The 22,769-nt window shown below is 35.1% G+C and overlaps 1 annotated feature.

The window, feature by feature from the left end:
• Positions 21,956 to 22,156: a silencer, noted in NCBI's record as "peak1430 fragment used in MPRA reporter construct". NCBI's record gives its function as "represses an SCP1 promoter by STARR-seq MPRAs in K562 erythroleukemia cells {active_cell/tissue: K562}" and the evidence as "EXISTENCE:reporter gene assay evidence [ECO:0000049][PMID:32103011]".

The raw sequence follows: 22,769 nt of genomic DNA on the forward strand, positions 1-22,769 counted from the left end.
AAACTACAGTTCAGAATTAAAATCAATGATATAACTTTGTACATTTTTAACGAAGAGCCTGATAAATTAATTTGGGCTAGAAAATCACAGCTGAAGTATATAATATACAATGTTTTACATTTTGGCTCAATACTATTGGAAAGATTTTATGATTCTAATTATTGTAAATCTAAAACATCTGGTAAATTATCATTTTGTTCATTAGAAAACACTAGGAAGGATTATTGTTATACTAGCTTTTGGCATGTTTTAAAACAGTTACATTTTATATTCACGTTTCATACTCACTGGGACCATATGCTGTAATTATCCAAGTGAGGTCACCAAAAGGCGAAGAAAAGTAAAATTTCACAGCAAAATATTTCATTAGAACTTCTTGCACAATGGTTAGATTGTTAATAAGAGTTGGGAAAATCAACATCCATATATAACCTCACTTGCATTAGTTATTTCAACAATTTTTACAAATAGATAAATAGGCTTTTTCCTTACTAATAGAAGATATGAGGAAGAGAAAATATAAGAGAACAGAGGGCAAGTATCAAGAACAAGGTGGAAAACCTTTAAGGCACTCTATGTTGCCTCTAATGGAAATAAATGACTGTATGCAATTAAAGGATTATCTTCTAGGTACAAAAGGAAACACAATCAACATTTGGGAGAGCACAACTCCTTTGAAAGGTTGCCTTTTGAGATTTTAGTGATTTGTCTTAGAAATGCATCACAGAACTAAATATCTTTGCTTTTCCTACTCTCTAGTTTTCTCAGTTTATCCTAAATATTAGATATACCACAGAAGTCTGAAAGATTTTGGAGATAGGTAAAATGCTAGGGATCCTAATAAACAGTAAGCAATTTAGAAAAGTCATGTATGAGAAATAACAAAACACAGTTGTGTTAAAACTAATAAAACTATGCTTAATTATATTTTCTTTAAATAAATAACTCGAGGATTTCAAGTGCAAAACAGCTTTGCCACAGTATGGAGTTTTTAATGTATGAAACCAGGTTGCTTAATTTAAAAAATATTTTCACACACATTAGAATACCCATTGTATTTATTCTAATGTACTTTTTCCCTTATTTGGGCCATTTTAATAATACATATCTTGCAATGCAACTTGATTTTTACATTAAGAGAAAATATGTTTTGTTTTAGGTATTCAAATCATTTAATTTCTGACTCCGTTCCATTTCTTTCTGCCCTAATTTTTTTACTTCTGTTCATTCCTTATATTAGGCATTGTGGAGACAAAGTTGAATAAACATGGAAATTTTACAATACGTTTAAAATTCAGTAGATCAAAAATAAGATTTAAACATCTGTTGGAGATGATTATTCAACAAACTTCAAGGTAGATTTCATCAAAATTACGTAAATACAACAAAAGAAAGTGACATATATAAATGATATTAACACATCATGCTTTTTATTGTCTTTAAAATGTTTATACGAAGATAGCTCATCAAAAACTTTGCTCGTCTCTATCATGCTTTATCATAATAAGGTTAAAGGGTTCATCTGCAAAAAGTGATAATCAAAAAAGCTGTACAGTGGATGACTTCATTTTCTCTTTTTTATTTTTAATTTGTTTGTATATAGTATGTAATTATGTGTTGCATGAGATATTTTGATAAGCATGCAATGTGCAATAATCACATCAGGGCAAATGGGGTATCCACCCACTCAAGCATTTATCCTTTGTGTTACAAACAATTACAAACAATCAATTATGCACTTTTATATATATTTCTTTTTCTGAGATGAAGTCTCACTCTTGTCCCCCAGGCTGGAGTGTGATGGTGCGATCTCGGCTCACTGCAACCTCCGCCTCCCGGATTCAAGCAATTCTCTTGCCTCAGCTTCCTCAGTAGCTGGGATTAGGCGCCTGCCAGCAAGCCCAGCTAATTTTTGTATTTTTAGTAGAGATGGGGTTTCACCATGTTGGCCAGGCTGGTCTCAAACTCCTGACCTCAGGTGATCTGCTCACTTTGGCCTCCCAAAGTTCTGGGATTATAGGCATGAGCCACTGCACCTGGCCAATTCTTTTATACATATTTCAATGTACAATTAAATTGCATTTTACTATAGTCACCCTTTTGTGGTAGCAATGCTAGGTCTTATTCATTTTTTCTAGCTATATATTTGTACACATTAACCATATGAATTTCCCCCCCACTACCCTTTCCAGCCTCTGGTAACCACCTGTCTACTCTCTATCCCCATGAGTTCAATTGTTTTAATTTTTAGCTCCCACAAAAAAAGTGAGAACATATGAGGCTTTTCTTTCCGTGCCTGGCTTATTTCACTTAACATAATGACCTCCAGTTCCATCCATGTTGTTGCAAATGACAGGATCTCATTATTTTTATGAAGGAAGAGTACCCTATTTTGTATATGTACCACATTTTCTTTATCCATTCATCTCTTGATGGACACCTAGGTTGCTTCCAAATTTCGGCTATTGTGAATAATGCTGAAGTAAACATGGGAATACAGGTCTCTTCAATATACTGAAATGCTGGATCATATGGTCTCTATTTTTAGCTTTTTCTGGAACCTCTGAATTGTTCTCCATAGTGATAGTACTAATACGTTCCCACATTATCAACTCATCCTAATTAAAATGGGCTTTATCCAAAAGACAGGTAATGGCAACAGTGTACAAGGGTTCCCTTTTCTCCCTGTCCTCACCAGCATTTGTCATTGCCTGTCTTTTGGATAAAAACCATTTTAACTGGGATGAGTGGATATCTCATTGTAGTTTTGATGTTTTTAACTGATGATCAATGATTTTGTGCACCTTTTCATATGCCTGTCCCATTGGTATGTTTCTTTTGAGAAATGTCAGTTCAGATCTTTTGTCCATTTTTTTACAGCATTGTTACATTTTTTTTCCTCTTGAGTTGTTCTTTGAGCTTTTTGTATATTCTGGTTATTGGTCCCTTGAGAAAAGGGCAGTTTGCAAGTATTTTCTTTTATTCTGTGGGTTGTCACTTTGTTAATTGTTTCCTTTGCTGTGCAGAAGCATTTTAACTTAATAGAATCCCATTTTCCCAATGTTTTCTTTTAGTAATTCCACAGATTGAAGTCAGATATAAGTAGTTAATCCATTTTTATTTGATTTTGGTATATGGCAAGAGATAAGGGATCTAGTTTCTTTCTTCTGCATGTGGACATCCAGTTTTTCCGGCATCATTTATTTATCACACTACCTTTTCCCCAGTGTATGTCCTTGGCACCTTTGTCAGAAATAAAGAAAGACAGAAAGATTGGGAGGCTGAGGCAGGCGGATCACCTGAGGTTGGGAGCTCGAAACCACCCTGATCAACATGGAGAAACCCCATCTCTACTAAAAATACAAAATTAGCCGGCATGGAGGCGCATGCCTATAATCCCAGCTACTTGGGAGGCTGAGGCAGGAAAATTGTTTGAACCCAGGAGGCAGAGATTGTGGTGAGCCGAGATCTTGCCATTGCACTCCAGCCTGGGCAACAAGAGCAAAACTGTCTCAAAAAAACAAAAAAACAAAAAAACAAAACAAAAAAAACAAAGACAGAAAGAAAGGAATGAAGGAAAAGGAAAAGGAAAAGTAGTTCAACAAAACAACCAGAAAACAAATAACAAAATGTCAGGCGTAAGTCTCTATTAGTAATGACATTGAATGAAAATGGACTAAACTCTCCAATCAAAAGACAAAGAGTGGCTGACTGGATAACATAAACAAGACCCACTCATCTGTTGTCTACTGCCTACAAGACATTAATTTCACCTATAAAGACACATATAGACTGAGTACAAAAGATTGGAAGAAGATACTAGATGCCAATGGAAATGAAAAAAGAGCAAGAATAGCTACACCAATAGACAAAAACCCTGAGAAGAGACCAAGAAAGTCGGTATATAATGATAAAGGGGCAAGAGGATATCACAATTGTAAATATGCATGCAGCAAACCCTGGAACACACAGATATATAAAGCAAATTTTATTAGAACTAAAGAGAGAGATAGACTACAGTAAAATAATAGCTGGAAATTTCAACACCCCACTTTCAACATTGGGCAAAATTTCCAGAGAGAAAATCAATAAAGAAACATTGTAATTAATCGATCTTTCTTTTAGTGAAGGTGATTTTCTCAAGCAGTAAGACTTAATTTCTTGCTTTTTGTTTTTTTGTGTATCCATTGTATGCCTTTTGATTTGAGGTTACCATGAGGCTTCCAAATACTCTCTTATAATCTATTATTTTAAGCTGATAACAACACAGTTTGTAGGAACAAACAAGCAAGCAAAAGAAAACTAATAAAAACTCGACATCTCAACATCATCCACCTGCTTTTTAACTTCTTGTTGTTTCCATTCACATCTTTAATGTACAGCCTATGTCTTGAAAAGTTGCTGTAGTTATTATTTTTGATTGATTCAATGTTTACTCTTTCTACTTAAGAATAGTTTATCCACCACATTTACAGTATTATAATATTCTGCTTTTTTCTCTGCGCTTACTACTGCCAGTGAGTTTTGTACCTTCAGATGATTTCTTATTGATTTTGACATCCTTTTGTTCTGATAAAAGTATTCCCTTTAGCATTTCTTGTAGGACACGTCTTGTACTGATGAAATTCCTCAGCTTTTGTTTGCCTGGGAAAGTCTTTATTTCTCCTTCATTGTTGAGGAATATTTTCACCAGATATACTATTCTAGGGTAAAAGTTTTTTTTCTTTAGCACTTTAAATGTATCATGCCACTCTCTCCTGGACTGTAAGATATCCACTGAAATGTCTGCTGCCAGACATATTGGAGTTCATTGCATGTGATTTGTTTCTTTTCTCTTGCTGCTTTTTTACAACAATTTTTTTACCAGCAGTGTTTGAAGATTCTTGTTTCTTTTTTTTTTTTTTTGAGACGGAGTCTCACTCTGTCGCCCAGGCTGAAGTACAGTGGCATGATCTTGGCTCACTGCAACCTCTGCCTCCCGGGTTCAAGTGATTCTCCTGACTCAGCCTCCTAAGTTGCTGGGAGTACAGGCGCACACTACCACGCCAGCTAATTTTTGTATTTTTAGTAGAGTCGGGGTTTCACCATGTTGGTCAGGCTGGTCTCAAACACCTGACCTCGTGATCCACCCACCTTGGCCTCCCAAAGTACAGGGATCACAGGCATGAGCCACCACCCCTGGCTGAAGATTCTCATTTCTATACATCTTCATCACCTTTTTTATTATCTGACTATTTTGATTATAGCAGTCCTACTGGTTATAAAGTGGAATCTCACTGTGCTTTGATTGGCATTTCTCTGATGACAAATGTTGAGCACGTTATCATTTGCTTAATGGCTATATATATATTTTTCGTTTTGGAGAAATGTCTATTCAGATTATTTACTGATTATTATTATTATTTTTTTGACAAAGTCTCGCTCTGTCACCCAGGCTGGAGTGCAGTGGCGTGATCTCTGCTCACTGCAACCTCACCTCCTGGGTTCAAGTAATTCCCCCGTCCTCAGCCTCCCGAGTGATTTGTCCTTTTATTGTGGATTTGTAGAGGTTCTTTATACATTCTGAATAAAAGTTCTTCCTCAGGCACAGGACTTGCAAATATTTTCTCTCTTTCTGTGAGTTGTCTTTTCACTCTCTTGATGGTATGCTTTAATGCACAAAATTTTTAGTATGAGGAAGTCCAAATCACTTATGTTTTCTATTGTTGCTTATACTTTTGACATCACATCCAACAATACTTTGCCAAATTCAATGCCATGAAGATTTATCCAAATATTTTCTTCTAAGAGTTTTATAGTTTTAACTCTAACATTTAGGTCTTCCTTGATCTATTTGAGTCAAACCTTTAAAACTGTGTGAGGTAAGGATTCAATTTTCATTTTTTTCCCCATGTGCTGTCTAATGGTCTTGGGACAATTTATTGAAACAATTCTTCTTTCCACATTGAATAGCTTTGGTATGTTTGTCAAAAATCAGTTGACCATACTGGATTCTCAAATATATTTCATTGATCTATCTATCCCTGTCTATCTAGCCAGTATGACACTGTCTTTATAACTGTTGCTTTTTACAAACTTTTATATTTGGAAGTCTAAGTCTTACTACCTTATACTTTTTAGAAATTGTTTTGACTTGTCTGGGTTCCTTACAATTTTATATAAGTTTTATCCTTAGCTTGTCAATTTCAACAAAGAAAGTCAGCTGTGATGATGAAGGTGATTGTTGAAAGTGTTGAATCTGTACATTAATTTAGGAAGTATTGCTATCCTAAAAATACTAAGTATTTCAATCTATTAACATGAAATTATTTAGAACTTCTTTAATTATTTCAATGATTTGTAGTTTTCACAAAATATTTTACCTTTTTTGTTAAATTTATTTTTGTTACTTGATTCTTGATGATATTGCAAATGGGATTGCTTTTTCTTCTTTTGTTTTAAAATTGTTCATTGACAGTGTATAGAAAAACAATACTTTTTAAATATTGATCTTGTATTCTACAACTTTGCCAATCGCATTTATTAGCACTAATAGTTTTTTTTTTCTTTAGTGTGTTCTTTAGGGTTTTCTACAAAAATAATTAAGTTATCTCTGAATAGTGACAGTTTTACTTGTTCCTTTCAACTGGATGGGTTTTACTTCTTTTTCTGGTGTATTTGCTATAGCTAGAAGCTGCAGTACAGTTTTGAATAGAAGTGGCAAGAGTGGACATACTTACTTGCTTTTGATCTTAAGAGTGAAAACATCCATTCTTTTACTGTTAAGTAAGATGTTACTGTGGTGTTTCGTAGATTCCCTTTATGAAGCTGAGAAAATTCCTTTCTTTTTCTAGTTTGTTGGATGTTTTTATCATTAAAAAAGTGTTAGATTTTTCTAATTCCATATCTGTGTTTATTGAGATAACAATGTGCTTTTTTGTTTTTTAAAAATGATCTATTCATAGAATGTGTTACATTAATTGATTTTCAGATGATAAATCAATCTTGGTCAGATCAATGACACTGATCCCGGTATATAATTCTTTTTATGTTGTTCTGGATCTTGTTTGCAAGTACTATGTACTATGTTGAAGAGTTTTGCCTACATATTCACATGAGTTTGTGATCTGTGGTTTCCTTTCCTTGCAAGGTCTTTGTTTGTTTGTTTAAAATCATAATAATACTGGCCTCATAAAATAAGTTGGGAATTATTGCCTTTTTTATTTTTGGAAGCATTTGTGAATAATGAATATTAGTTTTTCTTCAAATTTTGGTAAAATTCGTTAGTGAAGCCATCTGAGCCTGGGCTTATTTTTAACTCATTGATTGCTATTTTAATCACTTTGCTTGTAGGTATATGCAGATGATTTCTTATCAAGTAAGTTTCAAGAAGTCTGTCACTTCCTTGAGTCTTCTCTTTTTTTTTTTTTGCTTTGTAAATCTAGCTTTTTTTTTTTTTTTTACTTTGTTGATCTTTTCAAAGAACCAGGTATTATGGTTGTATTTCTATTCTCTATTGGTTTTTCTGGTATTTCATTATTTTTCACTCAAATCTTTATTCTTCATTTCCGCTTTATTTTGTTTGCTTTCAGTTTGCTTTTTTGCAGCATCTTAAGCTATATTTTGAGGTTATTGGTTTTAGATCTTTAATAAGGGAATTTGAAGCTATAAACTTCCCTCTGAGCAGTACTGTAACTGCATTACATACATTTTAGTGTGTTTTGATTTCATTTTCCTTCATCTCAAAGTATGATCCGAGTTCTTTTTATTTTTTCTTTAACCCATTGGTTTTTAGGTGTATGTGTATTTTTCCAGAGATTTTGAGTTTTCCAATTTTTGTTTCCTTTATGCTCCTACTGACAAATACATTTGAAATGTATTACATTTCAAATGTATTACATTTCTATATGAAATAGGCTTAATAGTATATTACACAGATTCTATTTTAGACAATTGCTTTCTGAATCAGTTAAGAGAAGAAATGATTAAAAACATTAATTATGCTATGCTTTATAATTAATTACCAGTTCTCTTTATTTTTAAATGTGGATTTAAATTACCATTTTTGGTTACTTGTGCTCAGCCTGAGGAACTTCCTTTAGTATTTCTTATAAGTTAGGTCTGCTAGCCACAAATTCTCTTGGTGCTGTTAGTGCGCAGACAAGATTTGAGCTTTGGGAGCCTCTGCCTAGATTTCAGAGGATGTATGAAAATGCCTGGGTATCTACCTTCATTTCTGAAAATAGCTTTGCTGGATATGGGATTCCTGGTTGACAGTTTTACTTTTCATTTTATTTTCCTGTGAGCATTCTGAGTGTGTTATCTTACTGACTCTGACCTCCATTGTCTTTACTGAGAAGCCAGCTATTGATTTTAATGGTGTTTTCTAGTGATTGACTTTTTTTTTCCTGTGGCTTTCAAAGTTTTCTCCTTGTGTGATTTTTAGCATTTGACTATGACATACTACTTTGTGAATTTCTTTGTATTTTCCCTACTTGGAATTTGTTGAGTTTCCTGGATGTATTTTTCAATAAATTTAGGAAGTTTCAGCCATTATTACTTCAACTATTTTTTCTGTTCTTTTCTCTCTTCATTTTTGGGTACACCCATTAGGCATATTAATTTTGTGCTTAATGTTGTCCCACATTTCTCTGAGGTTCTGTTCATAGTCTTCATTCTTTTTTTCTACATTCTTCAGATTACATAACCATTATCTATCTATTTTCAGGTTCCCTAACTCTTTCTTCTGTCAGTGAAATCTACTGTTGAGATCTTATAGTGGATTTCATTTCACTTCTGTACTGATCAATTCCATGATTTCTATTTCTTTATTTATGAAATTTTTATTTCTTTATTGATATTCTCTATTTGGTGTCACGTTGTTCTAATTCCTTATTTTACATGTGTACTCATGGTTTCCTTTAGTTCTTTATATATATTTGTAATGATATTTGTAATGACTACACTGAGTTTTATTTTCTCTTGAAACTGATGTCTGATTACTCTCACAGGCACTGTCTTTTGCCAGAATTTTTTCCAGAGTAAGGGTCATACTTTCTTACATTTTGCATATCTCACATAATTCTTGTTGTTGTTTGAAGCTGGGCATTGTAGGAAATATATTGTAGCAACTGTAGTTACTGCCCTTTTTCTCAAGGGTTTGTTATTTTTATTCTCCTTATCATTTGTTTAATCCCTAGCTGGAATATTTTAATAAAGTTTATCCCAGCCCTCTCCTCCTGTAGTCCTAACTCCATAATGTTGCTCCTCCTAGAGACACAGCTTTGGGTATGGGCACGGTCATGCTGGTATGACAATGAATTTGGCAAGGCTCTCTTTATCTCTTTCCTGGACCATAACCAGCTGAGAACTTTCATTAATTGCTAGCTGATTTATCTTTTTTTTTTTTTAACAAAAATGCCTTAGGAAATAAATTGCAAACTAATTCAGTCAAATTCAGGGATCCAGAGGTCAATTTTTGATATTAATTCTGACTATAAGAGCCTCTGTCAGTTGCCACTTAGTCTTGTTTTATCCTGCAAACGGGTTGGCTTACAATTTAGCCTGTATCTTTCTTGAATCTGCAACTCTACTCCTAATTGCCTTTCAATACTACCTCCACTATTTTTGAGATCACCCTTGGGTTTGAACTTTCCTACACTCCATTGCAAATGCAATCAGAGATTTTAGGAAAAAATTAGGAACTATGTATTTTACAGCCTGGTTTTCCCCTCAGGCAAAATGGCAAACCAGAGTTCTAGTTAGACCCTACTTAAAAACAATGGCATGCTTCTCTTGAAATGAAACCTTTACATTAGGAGCTGAGCTGTCAGAGGTAAGTGGTATGATATGGTTTGACTCTGTATCCCTACCCAAATCTTATCTCAAATTGTAGTCCCCACATGTTGAGGGAAGAACCTGGTGGGAGGTGATGGATCATGGGGACTCTTTCCCCCATGCTTTCTCAGGATAATGAGGGAGTTCTAATGAGATCTAATGGTTTTAAAGGTGGCAGTTTCCCCCGTGCTCTCTCTCTCTCCTGCCGCATTGTGAACAAGGTGCCTGCTTCCCCTTCTGCCATGATTGTAAGTTTCCTAAGGCCTACCCAGCCATATGGAACTGTGAGTGAATTAAAACTCTCTCCTTTATAAATTACCCAGTCTTAGTATCTGTATAGCAGTGTGAAAATGAACTAATACAGATAATTGGTACTGGCAGAGTGGGGCACTGCTATGAAGATAACCTGAAAATGTGGAAGTGACTTTGGACCTAGGTAACAGGCAGAGATTGGAGCAGTTTGGAGGGCTCAGAAGGAAACAGGAAGATGAGGGAAAGTTTGGAACTTCCTAGAAACTTGTTGGTTGAATGGTCTTGACCAAAATAGTGATATGGACAATAAAGTCCAGGCTGAGGTGGTCTCAGATGGAGATAAGAAACTTACTGAGAACTGGAGCAAAGGTCACTCTTGCTATGCTTTAGCAAAGAGACTGGTGGCATTTTGCCCCTGTCCTAGAGATCTGTGGAACTTTGAACTTGAAAGAGATATTTTAGTGTATCTGGCAGAAAAGAAAAAATTCTAAGCAGTGAAGCATTCAAGAGGTGGTATACACTTACATGCATTCACAAAGAGATAATTTGAAATTGGAACTTATGTTTAAAAGGGAAGCAGAGCATAAAAGTTTGGAAAATTTGCAGCTTGACCATGGAGTAGAAAAGGAATCTGGGGAGAAATTCAAGACTGCTGCAGAAATTTGCATAAGTAACAAGGAGCTGAATGTTAGTAACCAAGACAATGAGGGCAGTGTCTTTAGGGCATTTCAGAAATCTTTGTAGCCGCCCCTCCGATCACAGGAGGGAAAAATGGTTTTGTGACCTTAGTGCCCTGTGTCCCAGCCACTCCAGATCCAGCTGTGGCTAAAAAGGACCTAGATGCAGCTCAGGCTGTTGCTTCAGAAGGTGCGGTGGGTGCTCAGAAGACAAGAATTGAGCTTTGGGAGCCTCTGCCTAGATTTCAGAGGATGTATGAAAATGCCTCAGTGTCTAGGCAGAAGTCTGCTGCAGGAGTGGAGCTTTTATGGAGACTCTCTACAAGGGCAACACAGAGAGGAAATATGCGGTTGAGTCCCCACACAGGGTCTTCACTGGGACACTGCCTAGTGGAGCTGTGAGAAGAGGGCCAACATCCTTCCGACCCAAGAATGGTAGATCCACCAACAGCTTGCACTGTGCACCTGGAAAATCTGCAGGCACTCAATGCCAGCCTGTGAAAGCAGTCACAGGGGCTGTATCCTGCACAGCCACAGGGGCGGAGCTGCCCAAAGCTGTAGGAGCCCAACTCTTGCATCAGCATGCTCTGGTTATGAGAAATAGAGTCAAAGGAATTTTGGAGTTTAAAGATTTAATGACTGCCTGGTCAGGTTTCAGACATGCATGGGGTTTGTGGGCCCTTTGTTTTGGCCAATTTCTCCCATTTGGAATGAGATTTACTCAAGGACTGTACCCCCATTTTTTCTTGGAAGTAACTACCTTGCTTTTTATTTCACAGGCTCATAGGTGGAAGGGACTTGCCTTGTCTCAGATGAGACTTTGGACTTGGACTTTTGGGCTACTGCTGGAATGAGTTAAGACTTTGGGAGACTGTTGGAAAGGCATGATTGGTTTTGAAATGTGAAAAAGACATTGAGACTTGAGAGGAGCCGGGGCAGAACGATATGGTTTGGCTCTGTGATCTCACCCAAATCTCATCTCAAATTGCAATCCCCATGTGTTGAGGTAGGGACCTAATGGCAGGTAATTGGATCATGGGGGTGGCTTCCCCTTTGCTGTTCTCATAATAGTGAAGGAATTTTCACCAGATTTGATGGTTTTAAAAGTGGTGGTTTCCCCTTCACTCACTGTCTCTCCTGCCATCTTGTGAAGAAGGTGCCTGCTTCCTTTTTGCCTTCCGCCATGATTGTCAGTTTCCTGAGGTCTCCCCAGCCATGCAGAACTGTGAGTCAATTAAACCTCTCTCCTTTATAAATTACCCAGTCTCAGATAGTATCTTAACCGCTGTGTGAGAACAGACTAATGCATGGTAGTAGCCTTAAATCCTTTCAACTTGCCTCTCCTAGGATCAAACTGGGTCAAGGGCAATCAGGGTTTTAGTATTCTCAATAGTACGATTCCTTAGGTAGAACCTTCACTCCATGAGTGAGAGATAAGCAGACAAAGGGATTTCTCATTTAATGGCTACACTTGCCTGGAACTTATGCTCAGCAACATGTAGCTAGGGATAAAATGATGAGTCTTGACATTCTGCTTCTTCCAGTAAAAAGACCTTCAACTTGGAGCTAGGGGGAGAAACTTTCGTATGTTATTTTTTGCACCAGTCTCAAGTAGGAATTGGAACTCACTAAGATGGAATGAGGGAGGCAGAGAGAGAGTGGGCTCAGTTCAAATATCATAGTCATAATTTTCTTACCAAACATTAATAGACAGTTTTCATCAGATGATTCCTCGTTTGCTGTATGTCCTCAGGACCATTTCAAAAGATTTTTATAAATTTTTTTTACATCTGCAGAACTTCTCACATTATCATGTGAGAAGTCTCTCTCAGCAAACATTTAACGTTATGAGAAAAAGGGTTCTTTTTATTTACAGATATATGTGTATATATATGTGTGTGTATATATGCATACATATGTATGTGTGTGTGTGTGTGTGTGGATAGATAGATAGATAGATAGATAGATAGATAGATAGATAGATAAGTTTAGTTTTGGTCTAAGAACAGACCAAAAGACCAATGACTTCCTAGAGAAAGCTCTGAAACAGAACCTAGTATAGATGAAAGCACCCTCTGTAAAGGTATAATTTTATAAATTAATGATAAAATGAGTTAGTAATTAACTGTTGCAGCCCAATGGTAAAACATATTTCAAAATAATATTAGAAGACTTTCTTACATATCAAATTCTCAAATATGTTGGGTTAATCTTAAGGCTAAAATAGGAGTAATAAAAATTACTGAAAGTGAATATAAACATAGAAAAAGATACCACAGAGTAAGAAAATCTATAACACAATCAACAGTCAAAATAATTAGATTTATGATGTAAAAAAGAACATCTGTAAATCTATATGACAACTCTAGAATATACATAGGAAAATTACAGGAACAGGTAATGCACATAATAAAAAAATCAAATGTAAATTAGTCTATGAAACTTTCCAAATATTACTACTGAATACAATCCAAATTTTTAAAATGGATATATAATGTGTATGTTTGTGCATGTGTATGTGTATGCCTATTAAATTTTATAAACATGAAAAATAATAATACCATCTTTTGTTGGTGGTGAGGATTTGGTGAGGCTTACATATTCTTGGTTTAAGAATGAATTGGTAAAAACCAATTTATAATGTGCTTTTGTTATATGTCACCACACAAAACATTTAAATAACATTTCTTTTTAAAGATTATGTCTTATAGCATTAACCGCATTAATAAGTAAAAATAATTTGAGCTCTGATGTTAATATGCACTGTTTTGCAAAGGTAGAAAAATCAGATTTATAAATGGCTTATTTATAGGCAAGAGTTAGAATATGATAAATGCATATAATGAGATGGAATTTAACAATTACAAAATTATGAGGTAGAATATATACACTACCCTAGAATATATTTATCACATATTATTATGTAAAAAACAAATAAGTTTCAGGTTCAATTACATACAATAATTCAATTTTTGTTTAAAAAATGTATGTGAACACAGTATAAATGTGGATATAATAGTTTTTATTTAAAGACATACATATTTTCTGGAATCATATGAATAAATCAATAAAAATCATTAGGGAATAAAAATGGTTCTCCACAGTGTAGTACTAGTTGAATGGTTTCTACTATAAACTCATTCATCTCTTTTTAGAGGAGACTGGGTCTTGGTTTTAATAAGAGGCAATACGAAAAAAATGTATTCAAAGACAATTACCAGGTTTTTGTGTTAGGCAACTAGGCTTATGATGTTGATCACTGAAATAGAAAATATAATGAGAAAAAAACATTCTAAAGAGAGAGCTGATTAATCTAGTTTTAAACAATATTTAGCTTGAATTATCTTTGTAACATTTAGGTCTTGAAGTTCACCACATCCATTAAACAAGGAATATAAGCTTGGTAATAATTATATACAGATGAAGATAGAACTTCTGCAGTCATAGGCCATTCAGAAAAATCTTACAGGGCAATGTTTTAGAAAAATGGAATTATTGATGTTTTGGGGAGAATATTCCTCATTGTAAAGTATTATCTCAAATGTTTTAGGGAAATTACCATCTTCTTTCCCTGATCAGTAAATATCAATAGTTTTCTAGGTTAATTTTAAGCACCAAAACTTATTGCCAACACATTTGCAAGTAGCTCATAGGTTATATTTCTTTTTCCGATTACCAATTACTTGTGTCTAGAGAGAAGAGTGAGGTGGATATCTGGAAGTTATATGTGTGTGTGTGTGTGTATATATATATATATATATATATATATATATATATATATACACACACACACACTATATATATACCACTCATATATATGTAATTATATATTCTATTGTATAGAATATATAATGTTATTAATATAAAATATATTTATATTATATTAATATATAATATCAATATAGTAATATGAATATTAACATATAATATAAATATATAATATATATTTTATATATATATGAGTGGTATATATATATATATATATATATATATATAGAGAGAGAGAGAGAGAGAGAGAGAGAGAGAGAGAGAGTGGTAGAAAATAGTCTATGAAGGAAACTGAGAAAGATTTGTCCAGGGGAATTACAGAAAATTAAAAGACACAGTAACAAAAGGAAAAAAAATAATCTATGGATAACAAAAGAGAATTGGCAGTAGTAGGTAAAAATTGCAAAATATACAAATAAAGTCTGAAAAGTATTGATTCATTTCAGTAACAAAAAAATTATTGTATATGTGGGTAGGACTTTTTGGGTCACGGGGTAATGAAGAATGAATAAGTGTTATAATCTCTGTCAAGAATATAACTTTTTAGAGATGTGACAAGGCAATAGGTGAATGAAGTTCAAGAAACTCAATAAAGGTTTACCAGTGACATTGTTGTTGTTTTGAAGTGATGAGAAAAACTCACAAAATGCAAAAATACAAAGAGAAAGTGCCAGTGAATAAATATTTTTGAAGATATAAGATAAATGGGTCATATTTTGATTTCCATATTTTATATTTTCAATGTGGTCATCATGGAAATTACATATAACAATTTAAAGTTATAACAATTTGATTTGGCAGGAACTTAACTTCAATTGCATGCAAAATATTTACTTCTATATAATTATGTACCCCCTTATTTTATATTACTAATGTCACACATTCCATCTTTGTATGTTGTATACCCATTAACACAGACCTATAATTATTTGATACATTTGTCTTTAAGTTCTGTCTTTGCCAGAACTGCTCTCCTGTTTGCAGTTAAATGCCTGAGGCTTTTCCAGACTAAGGTGGCATGCTTTCCGTGGCTTTATAATTCTGGTGTCTGAAAGGCAGCAACGCTGCTCCCAAATTTCCACTATGCACTCCCCTAGTAGAGGGTCTCTCCAGTGACCCTGTCCTTGTGGAAAGATTATTTCTGGGCACCCAGCCTTTCCAATACATCCTCTGAAATCTAGGTCGAAGTGGCCAAGCCTCCACCGCTCTTGAATTCTGAGTGCCGCAGACTTAGCAAGATATGGAAACCAGCAATGCTTACCACTTTTGCTCTTCAGAACTGTGGCTTTAACAGTATTTGAGGTCCTTTGAACCACCACTGGAGCTACAGTGGCTAGAATGCATTGAGTAACATCTCAAGGTGGTGTGGGGCAGCAATGCTTGACCCCATCCCCAAAAAAACCATTCTGTCCTCCCAAGCTTCTGGATTCTAATGGGAGGTGTAACCTTGAAGATTTCTAAAATGACTTTGACACCTTTTTCCCATTGTCTTGAAAGCATCTAGCTTTCTTTGGTCATGCTAATCTCTCCAGCAAGTGTTTGCTCTGCAGTACTGTTGGATTTTTCGTCTAAAAAATGTTATTTCATTCTTTACCACATAGGCAGGCTGCAAATTTTTCAGATTTCTGCATTTTGCTTTTCCTTTAATTATAAACTGCACCTATAGGTTATTACTCTGTTGCCCTACCTGATATTAAATTGTTAAAAACAGCTCTACCACCTCTTGAAGGCTTTGCTGTAGAAATTTCTTCTATTAGATAACCTAGGTCATCACTCTTAAATTCAGCCTTCTGCCAAGCCCTAGGGCATAGACAGAATGCTTCCATATTCTTTGCTTAGTTTAAATGGGTGACTTTTTCTCTAGTTCTCAGTAAGTTCCTCATTTTGTCCGATGACACATCAACATGGCCTTGGCTGTCTATATTTCTAGAAGCACTTTGGTCATAACCACTTAACCAATCTCTGAAAAGTTCCATACTTTCCCTCATTTTTATGTCATTTTCTGTGCCCTCCTCACTCTTCCAACTTCTGCCCATTACCAACTTCCAAAGCCACTTCTACATTTTCAGTTATCCTTATAGTAACAAGCAATACTCAGTACCAATTTTCTGTCTAATTTCTATGTGTTGCTATAAAGGAATACCCAAGGCTCAGTAATTTATAAAGAAAAGAGGTTTATTTAGTTAATGATTCCACTGCCTGGAAGATTGGCCCTGTGGTTGGTGAAAGCCTCAGGCTACTTCACTCATGGCAGAAATAAAGGGGAGCTGACATGTGCAGAGGTCACATGGCAAGGGAGGAAGCAAGAGAGAGAAGTGGGTGGTGCCAGATTCTTTTAAAGAGTTATGGGAACTAATAGAATGAGAAAGCACTCACCACATGTCCAGGGAAGTGGGGTGGTGCCAGATTATTTTACTAGAAGGGGGTGCCACCAGTTTCTTTTACTAGAAGGGGGTGCACTCACCCCATGTCCAGGGAGGCTATTAATCTCTCACTGAGGGATCTTCCCCCATGACCAAACACTTCCCATTAGACTTTACCTGGAGCACTGGGGATCAAATTTCACCCTGAGATTTTTAAGGGGACAAGCATCCAAATCATAGCAGTGGGCTTTTGCATTTCCCAGTATGCAAGGCTACATTTAAATGTCATAATTTCCCAAAGAGTCTCACATCAGCTTCTCCTTGGGACCTTAGATTGTCTATTGTTAAGTCTCTACCAGTAATCTCTTGTCGCAGGCATCTGTGGCTTTGTAGTGTCCATGTAGCTTTCCTGAGCAGCAGATACTGTTTCTCCCTGTCTGAGATCTGAGTTAAGAAAAACAGTCTTAAAGAGGTCTTTGTCAGCCCCTACTGACCTCTTCAAGGAGAACTACTAAACACTGCCCAAGAAAATTAGAGAGGACACAAACACATGGAAAAACATTCCATGCTTATGGATAGGAAGAATCAATATCATGAAAATGGCCATACTACCCAAAGAAATTTATAGATTCAATGCTATCTCCATCAAGCTACCAATGACTTTCTTCACAGAATTGGAAAAACTACTTTAAACTTCATATGGAACCAAAAAAGAGCCCGCATAGCCAAGATAATCCTAAGCAGAAAGAACAAAGCTGGAGGCATCATACTACCTGACTTCAAACTATACTACAAGGCTAGAGTAACCAAAACAGCATGGTACTGGTACCAAAACAGAAATATAGACCAATGGAACAGAACAGAGCCCTCAGAAATAACACCACACATCTACAACCATCTGATCTTTGACAGACCTGACACAAACAAACAATGGGGAAAAGATTCCCTATTTAATAAATGGCATTGGGAAAACTGGCTAGCCATATTTGGAAAACTGAAACCGGACCCCTTCCTTAAAACTTATACAAAAATCAAGTCAAGGTGGATTAAAGACTTAAATGTAAGACTTAAAACCATAAAAACCCTAGAAGATAACCTAGGGAATACCATTCAGGATGTAGGCATGGGCAAAGACTTCATGTCTAAAATACCAAAAGCAACAGCAACAAAAGCCAAAATTGACAAATGGGGTCTAATTAAACTAAAGAGCTTCTGCACAGCAAAAGAAACCATCATCAAAGTGAACAGGCAACCTACAGAATGAGAGAAAAGTTTTGCAATCTATCCATCTGACAAAGGGCTAATATCCAGAATCTACAAAGAACTTAAACAAATTTACAAGAAAAAAACAACCCCATCAAAAAGTGGGCAAAAGATATGAACAGATGCTTCTCTAAAGAAGACATTTATGCAGCCAACAAACATATGAAAAAATGCTCATCTTCACTGGTCGTTAGAGAAATGCAAATCAAAACCACAGTGAGGTACCATTTCACACCAGTTAGAATGGTGATCATTAAAAAGTCAGGACACAACAGATGCTGGAGAGGTGTGGAGAAATAATGCTTTTACACTGTTGGTGGGAGTGTAAATTAGCTCAACCATTGTGGAAGACAGTGTGGTGATTCCTCAAGGATCTAGAACTAGAAATATCATTTGACCCAGCACTCCCATTACTGGGCATATACCCAAAGGATTATAAATCGTTCTACTACAAAGACACATGAACACCTATGTTTATTGCAGCACTGTTTACAATAGAAAAGACTTGGAACCAGCCCTAATGTCCATCTATGACAGACTGGATAAAGAAAATGTGGCACATATATACCATGGAATACTATGCAGTCATAAAAAAGGATGAGTTCATGTCCATTACAGGGATATGAATGAAGCTGGAAGCTGTCATTCTCAGCAAACTATCACAAGGACACAAAACCAAACACCACATGTTCTCACTCATAAGTGGGAGTTGAACAGTGAAAACACATGGACACAGGGAGGGGAACATCACACACCAGGGCCTGTCGGGAGGTGGGGGGCTAGGGGAGGGATAGCATTAGAAGAAATGCCTAACGTAGATGACGCATTGATGGGTGCAGCAAACCACCATGGCACGTGTATACCTATGTAACAAAACCGCATGTTCTGCACATGTACCCCAGAACTTAAGAGTATTAAAAAAAAAATTAGAAGTCAATAATTCTCTTACCAACAAAGAGGACTTGCATTCAACGGGATTTTTAAAAGTGGTATTGTGTAAAAATTTTGGAAAATACCACCATAATGGAAAAAATAATAAAGTAGCATATAAATCAAATATGATGCTAAAAATTATAATTTTTACATATGAATTTTGGAATCTTAAAATAAATATTTTTATTTGTTTTGGAAAAAAAAAGAAAAGCTGTCTTTCCATCAGCCTGAGACAAGTTAAAACACTGCAAAGAAAGTCTGTTCTGCCCTTCTTTTATGTCAGAGAATAAATTAAGAAATGGGCTGTTGCCTCCTCCAGACCAAAACCGCATCATGCCATGGATAAGATAAGGCAACAATGAAGAAAACCACTGTAACATTTTCTGCATGTTAAATGTTGCTTTTTTTCTGATGTGGTGTTCACTTGATTGCTGTAGTCCTTTGAATGTTTTCCAGAATTGGTATGTGGTTATTTTAGTTGATTTTTGTTTGTGTTTTAAAATCTTCATGGGAAGCAAATGTTTGAAGCTTTCTAGTCAGCCATTTTGCTAATGAGGCTACATCATTCAATTTAAAGTGTCATTCTATCATTCCAGTTTGAGAAAACATTAGGATAGCAACACTTAATGTTTTCATCAGTATTTGTATTATCTGGCTTCCCAGTACACATTCTTTCATGAATATTCTGAATTTCTACCTAGATTTTGTACACTAGTTTCCAACAGAACACTTTTATTTTATATTCTTGTTTGCATTCTGCAAAATACAATGTGTATTTATATTGAAACATTAAAGCAGGCTATACATTTCAGCTTTCAATAACCATTTTCTTTTCAATAATCTAACAATGCACTACCTCACAGTGATAGTTCAGTCACTTTACAGTGTGGGCGCATATTTATTTTCTCATAAAATAAAATATATTAGTAATTAATGAACACTTTTCAAAAACATTTGTTTTAAAATACCATATCTTGCACACATTTTTATATGTAACAAGTAGAATTGAATTACCTACTTAGCCATTTCAAACATCATTTTGTTTGATGTATCCTTACAAGAAAACTTTCTAAAGCTTTTGTTAATCCGTTTGCTCCTAAAAATATATTGGCATTTGCAAAATATCAGAATTTATTGCATACCAGTTTTTAATGTGTCCCTAAATACTTAAAACAAGATATTCATGTCTTCCAATTATGCAAAATTCTCTAGAATCATTAGTGCCTATTGACATGTAAAACCTTCCAGAAAATCTAAGTAAATTTGAAAAAACAAAATGATGTATTTTTATTTATTTTTCTTTCTAAACAGTATTTTATTCATAGATGGGTAAAAGAAGTATACTTTTTTTTTTTTTTTTTTTTTTTTTTTTTTTTCCTGAGGGCTGGAGTGCAATGGCATGGTCTTGGCTCACTGAAACCTCTGCCTCCCAGGCGATTCTCCTGCCTCAGCCTCCCAAGTAGCTGGGATTACAGGCACTAGCCACCATGCCTGGCTAATTTTTGTTTTTGGCTTTTTTTTTTTTCAGTAGAGATAGGGTTTCACCATTTCGGCCAGGCTGGTCTTAAACTCCTGGCCTCAGGTGATCTGCCCGCCTCGGCCTCCCGAAGTGCTGGGATTACAGGCGTGAGCCACTGCGCCTGGGCAAGAAGCATACAATATTTTAATTCTAAAGACACTCATATATTCCAAGGGACTTGAACATCATAATTGTAAATCTCAGTCAAAATATATAGTACCAAACTACCCCTCCTTGGAAAGTAACTGCTTAAGGTGAAAAGCATTTTTAGGTTGTCTTTCCTATACAGAAGCCTGTGTGAGTAATTTAGTAGGATTGTGAGGTCCAAAAATGTAGAGTGGGAGCACTTGGCTATGTGGCTGACAAGGAGGGTGTTTTATCTTTGGTGAGTTTACCCTTCTTATGTATTTATCACCTTCTCCAACTTTTTAGTTACAGGAAAAATTGGAGATGATATTTAGATATCTATCTTAATGATACCTTTCCTTTGTGTGCAGTTTGATATAAGATTTATGTTAGTGACTCTTGTGAATAATTTCTATAGTTCATTTTGTCTTCTTTCATATAAGTAAACTTTGAGATTTTGCCTTTCAAATAGCACACGATATCCATAGAGGTATCACATTGTTAATAAATTAACAGAAAGGGCATTTCTATCTAACCTAACCTACTTAGCAATGCTATCAATTAGGAAAACACATTGATTGGGACAATCAATGAGATTCCTATTTGCTGATACAAATTCATCATGTCTTCAAGCTCCAATAAAGATGTCCTCCCAAGTGTCTTCTTTCTCGCAATGAAAAATAATATTTATTTATTTATTGAAAAATAGGAAGAAAGCTGTTTTAATAAAATAGTCTCAAGAGAACTGAGTAAATATATATTGTGTTTATTTGATATTCAATCAAGCTCAGGTAATATTTCCACTCCCCGATCTCTTATTTAATTTCCCTCTGACCCTCACTTGCACTATACTGTATATTTCATTTCAAACTCAGTTAAATAAATAAGTCAAATTTTCTAAGCCCATGAATTTCATAGCTATTCTTTGCTGCCAGTAAATCTTACCTTTTATTTTCACTTGTCAGATCAGGGCCATAATCAGGAACTGGGAAACAGGGCTCTGCCCCTTTTCAGGATCATCAGTAATTTTTCACTCACACTTAGATATGAATTATTAAGATAGCTCTTGGTTAAAAAAAGGAAAACTATTTCAAGTGTAATGCTGCAAAAGGTTGAAACAATTGAATTTCCCATTTAGCAAATACAGGATTGTTTCCTACCTCTCAAGTGAACTTCAATGACAATGAAAATAAGAAAACTACTTGCTGCAAAATAGGAAGTTGTCATCGTAATTTAGAACCAAAATAGAAGAAAAGTGCCCTAAACACTTGACACCATATACAGAAGAAGGCCAAGTCAGACTAATGATTTAGTGTGCTGAGAGGCATCATGAGTATTCATGGCTGCTAGATCTGTAAAGTTTCTACAGACTCACGGAGTCAGAGAGTGGAAGAAATCTTTGATAAATCATGTAATCCACTGTACACTGTTGTGTTTCACATTCCAAGTAGACATATGTATGTCGTGTTTTAAATATGTGATTCTAAAAGAACTCTTTCAGAATTAGCTTCTATTCATTTTTAAGCCTTTCGTCTGAATATTCTAAACTCATAATTTAATATGTGCCTGTAGACAGTTTCCAAGTATTTCTTTTAACCGTCATTCTTTTCTGTCCATTCAGTTTATCAAATATTGAATATTAATTCCGTTTTATCATGCACTGAAGCAAGCTCCCCACCAGGAATAAAAATATCAAATTTTGTATTATTTCTCCAAGTAAAATTAATATGTGAGTATAATACACTGTTACTTTAAATATTAATTATGTAAAAGAGGACAATGTTTTCTCTAAATTATATATATATTTATACATATATAAATATATGTGTGTGTGTATATATGTATGTGTGTGTGTGTGTGTATATATATATATATATATATATATATATATATATATATATATATATGTGAAAACAGATGTGTTGGGTTGATCACTAAGTAAAAAGTGTTGAGCCAGCTGGGCGCGGTGGCTCACGCCTATAATTCCAGCACTTTGGGAGGTCGAGGCAGGCGGATCAAAAGGTCAGGAGATTGAGACCATCCTGGATAACA

This window comes from Homo sapiens, chromosome 11 (genome assembly GCF_000001405.40).
Source record: "Homo sapiens chromosome 11, GRCh38.p14 Primary Assembly".
In the NCBI taxonomy this organism is placed as follows: Eukaryota; Metazoa; Chordata; class Mammalia; order Primates; family Hominidae; genus Homo; species Homo sapiens.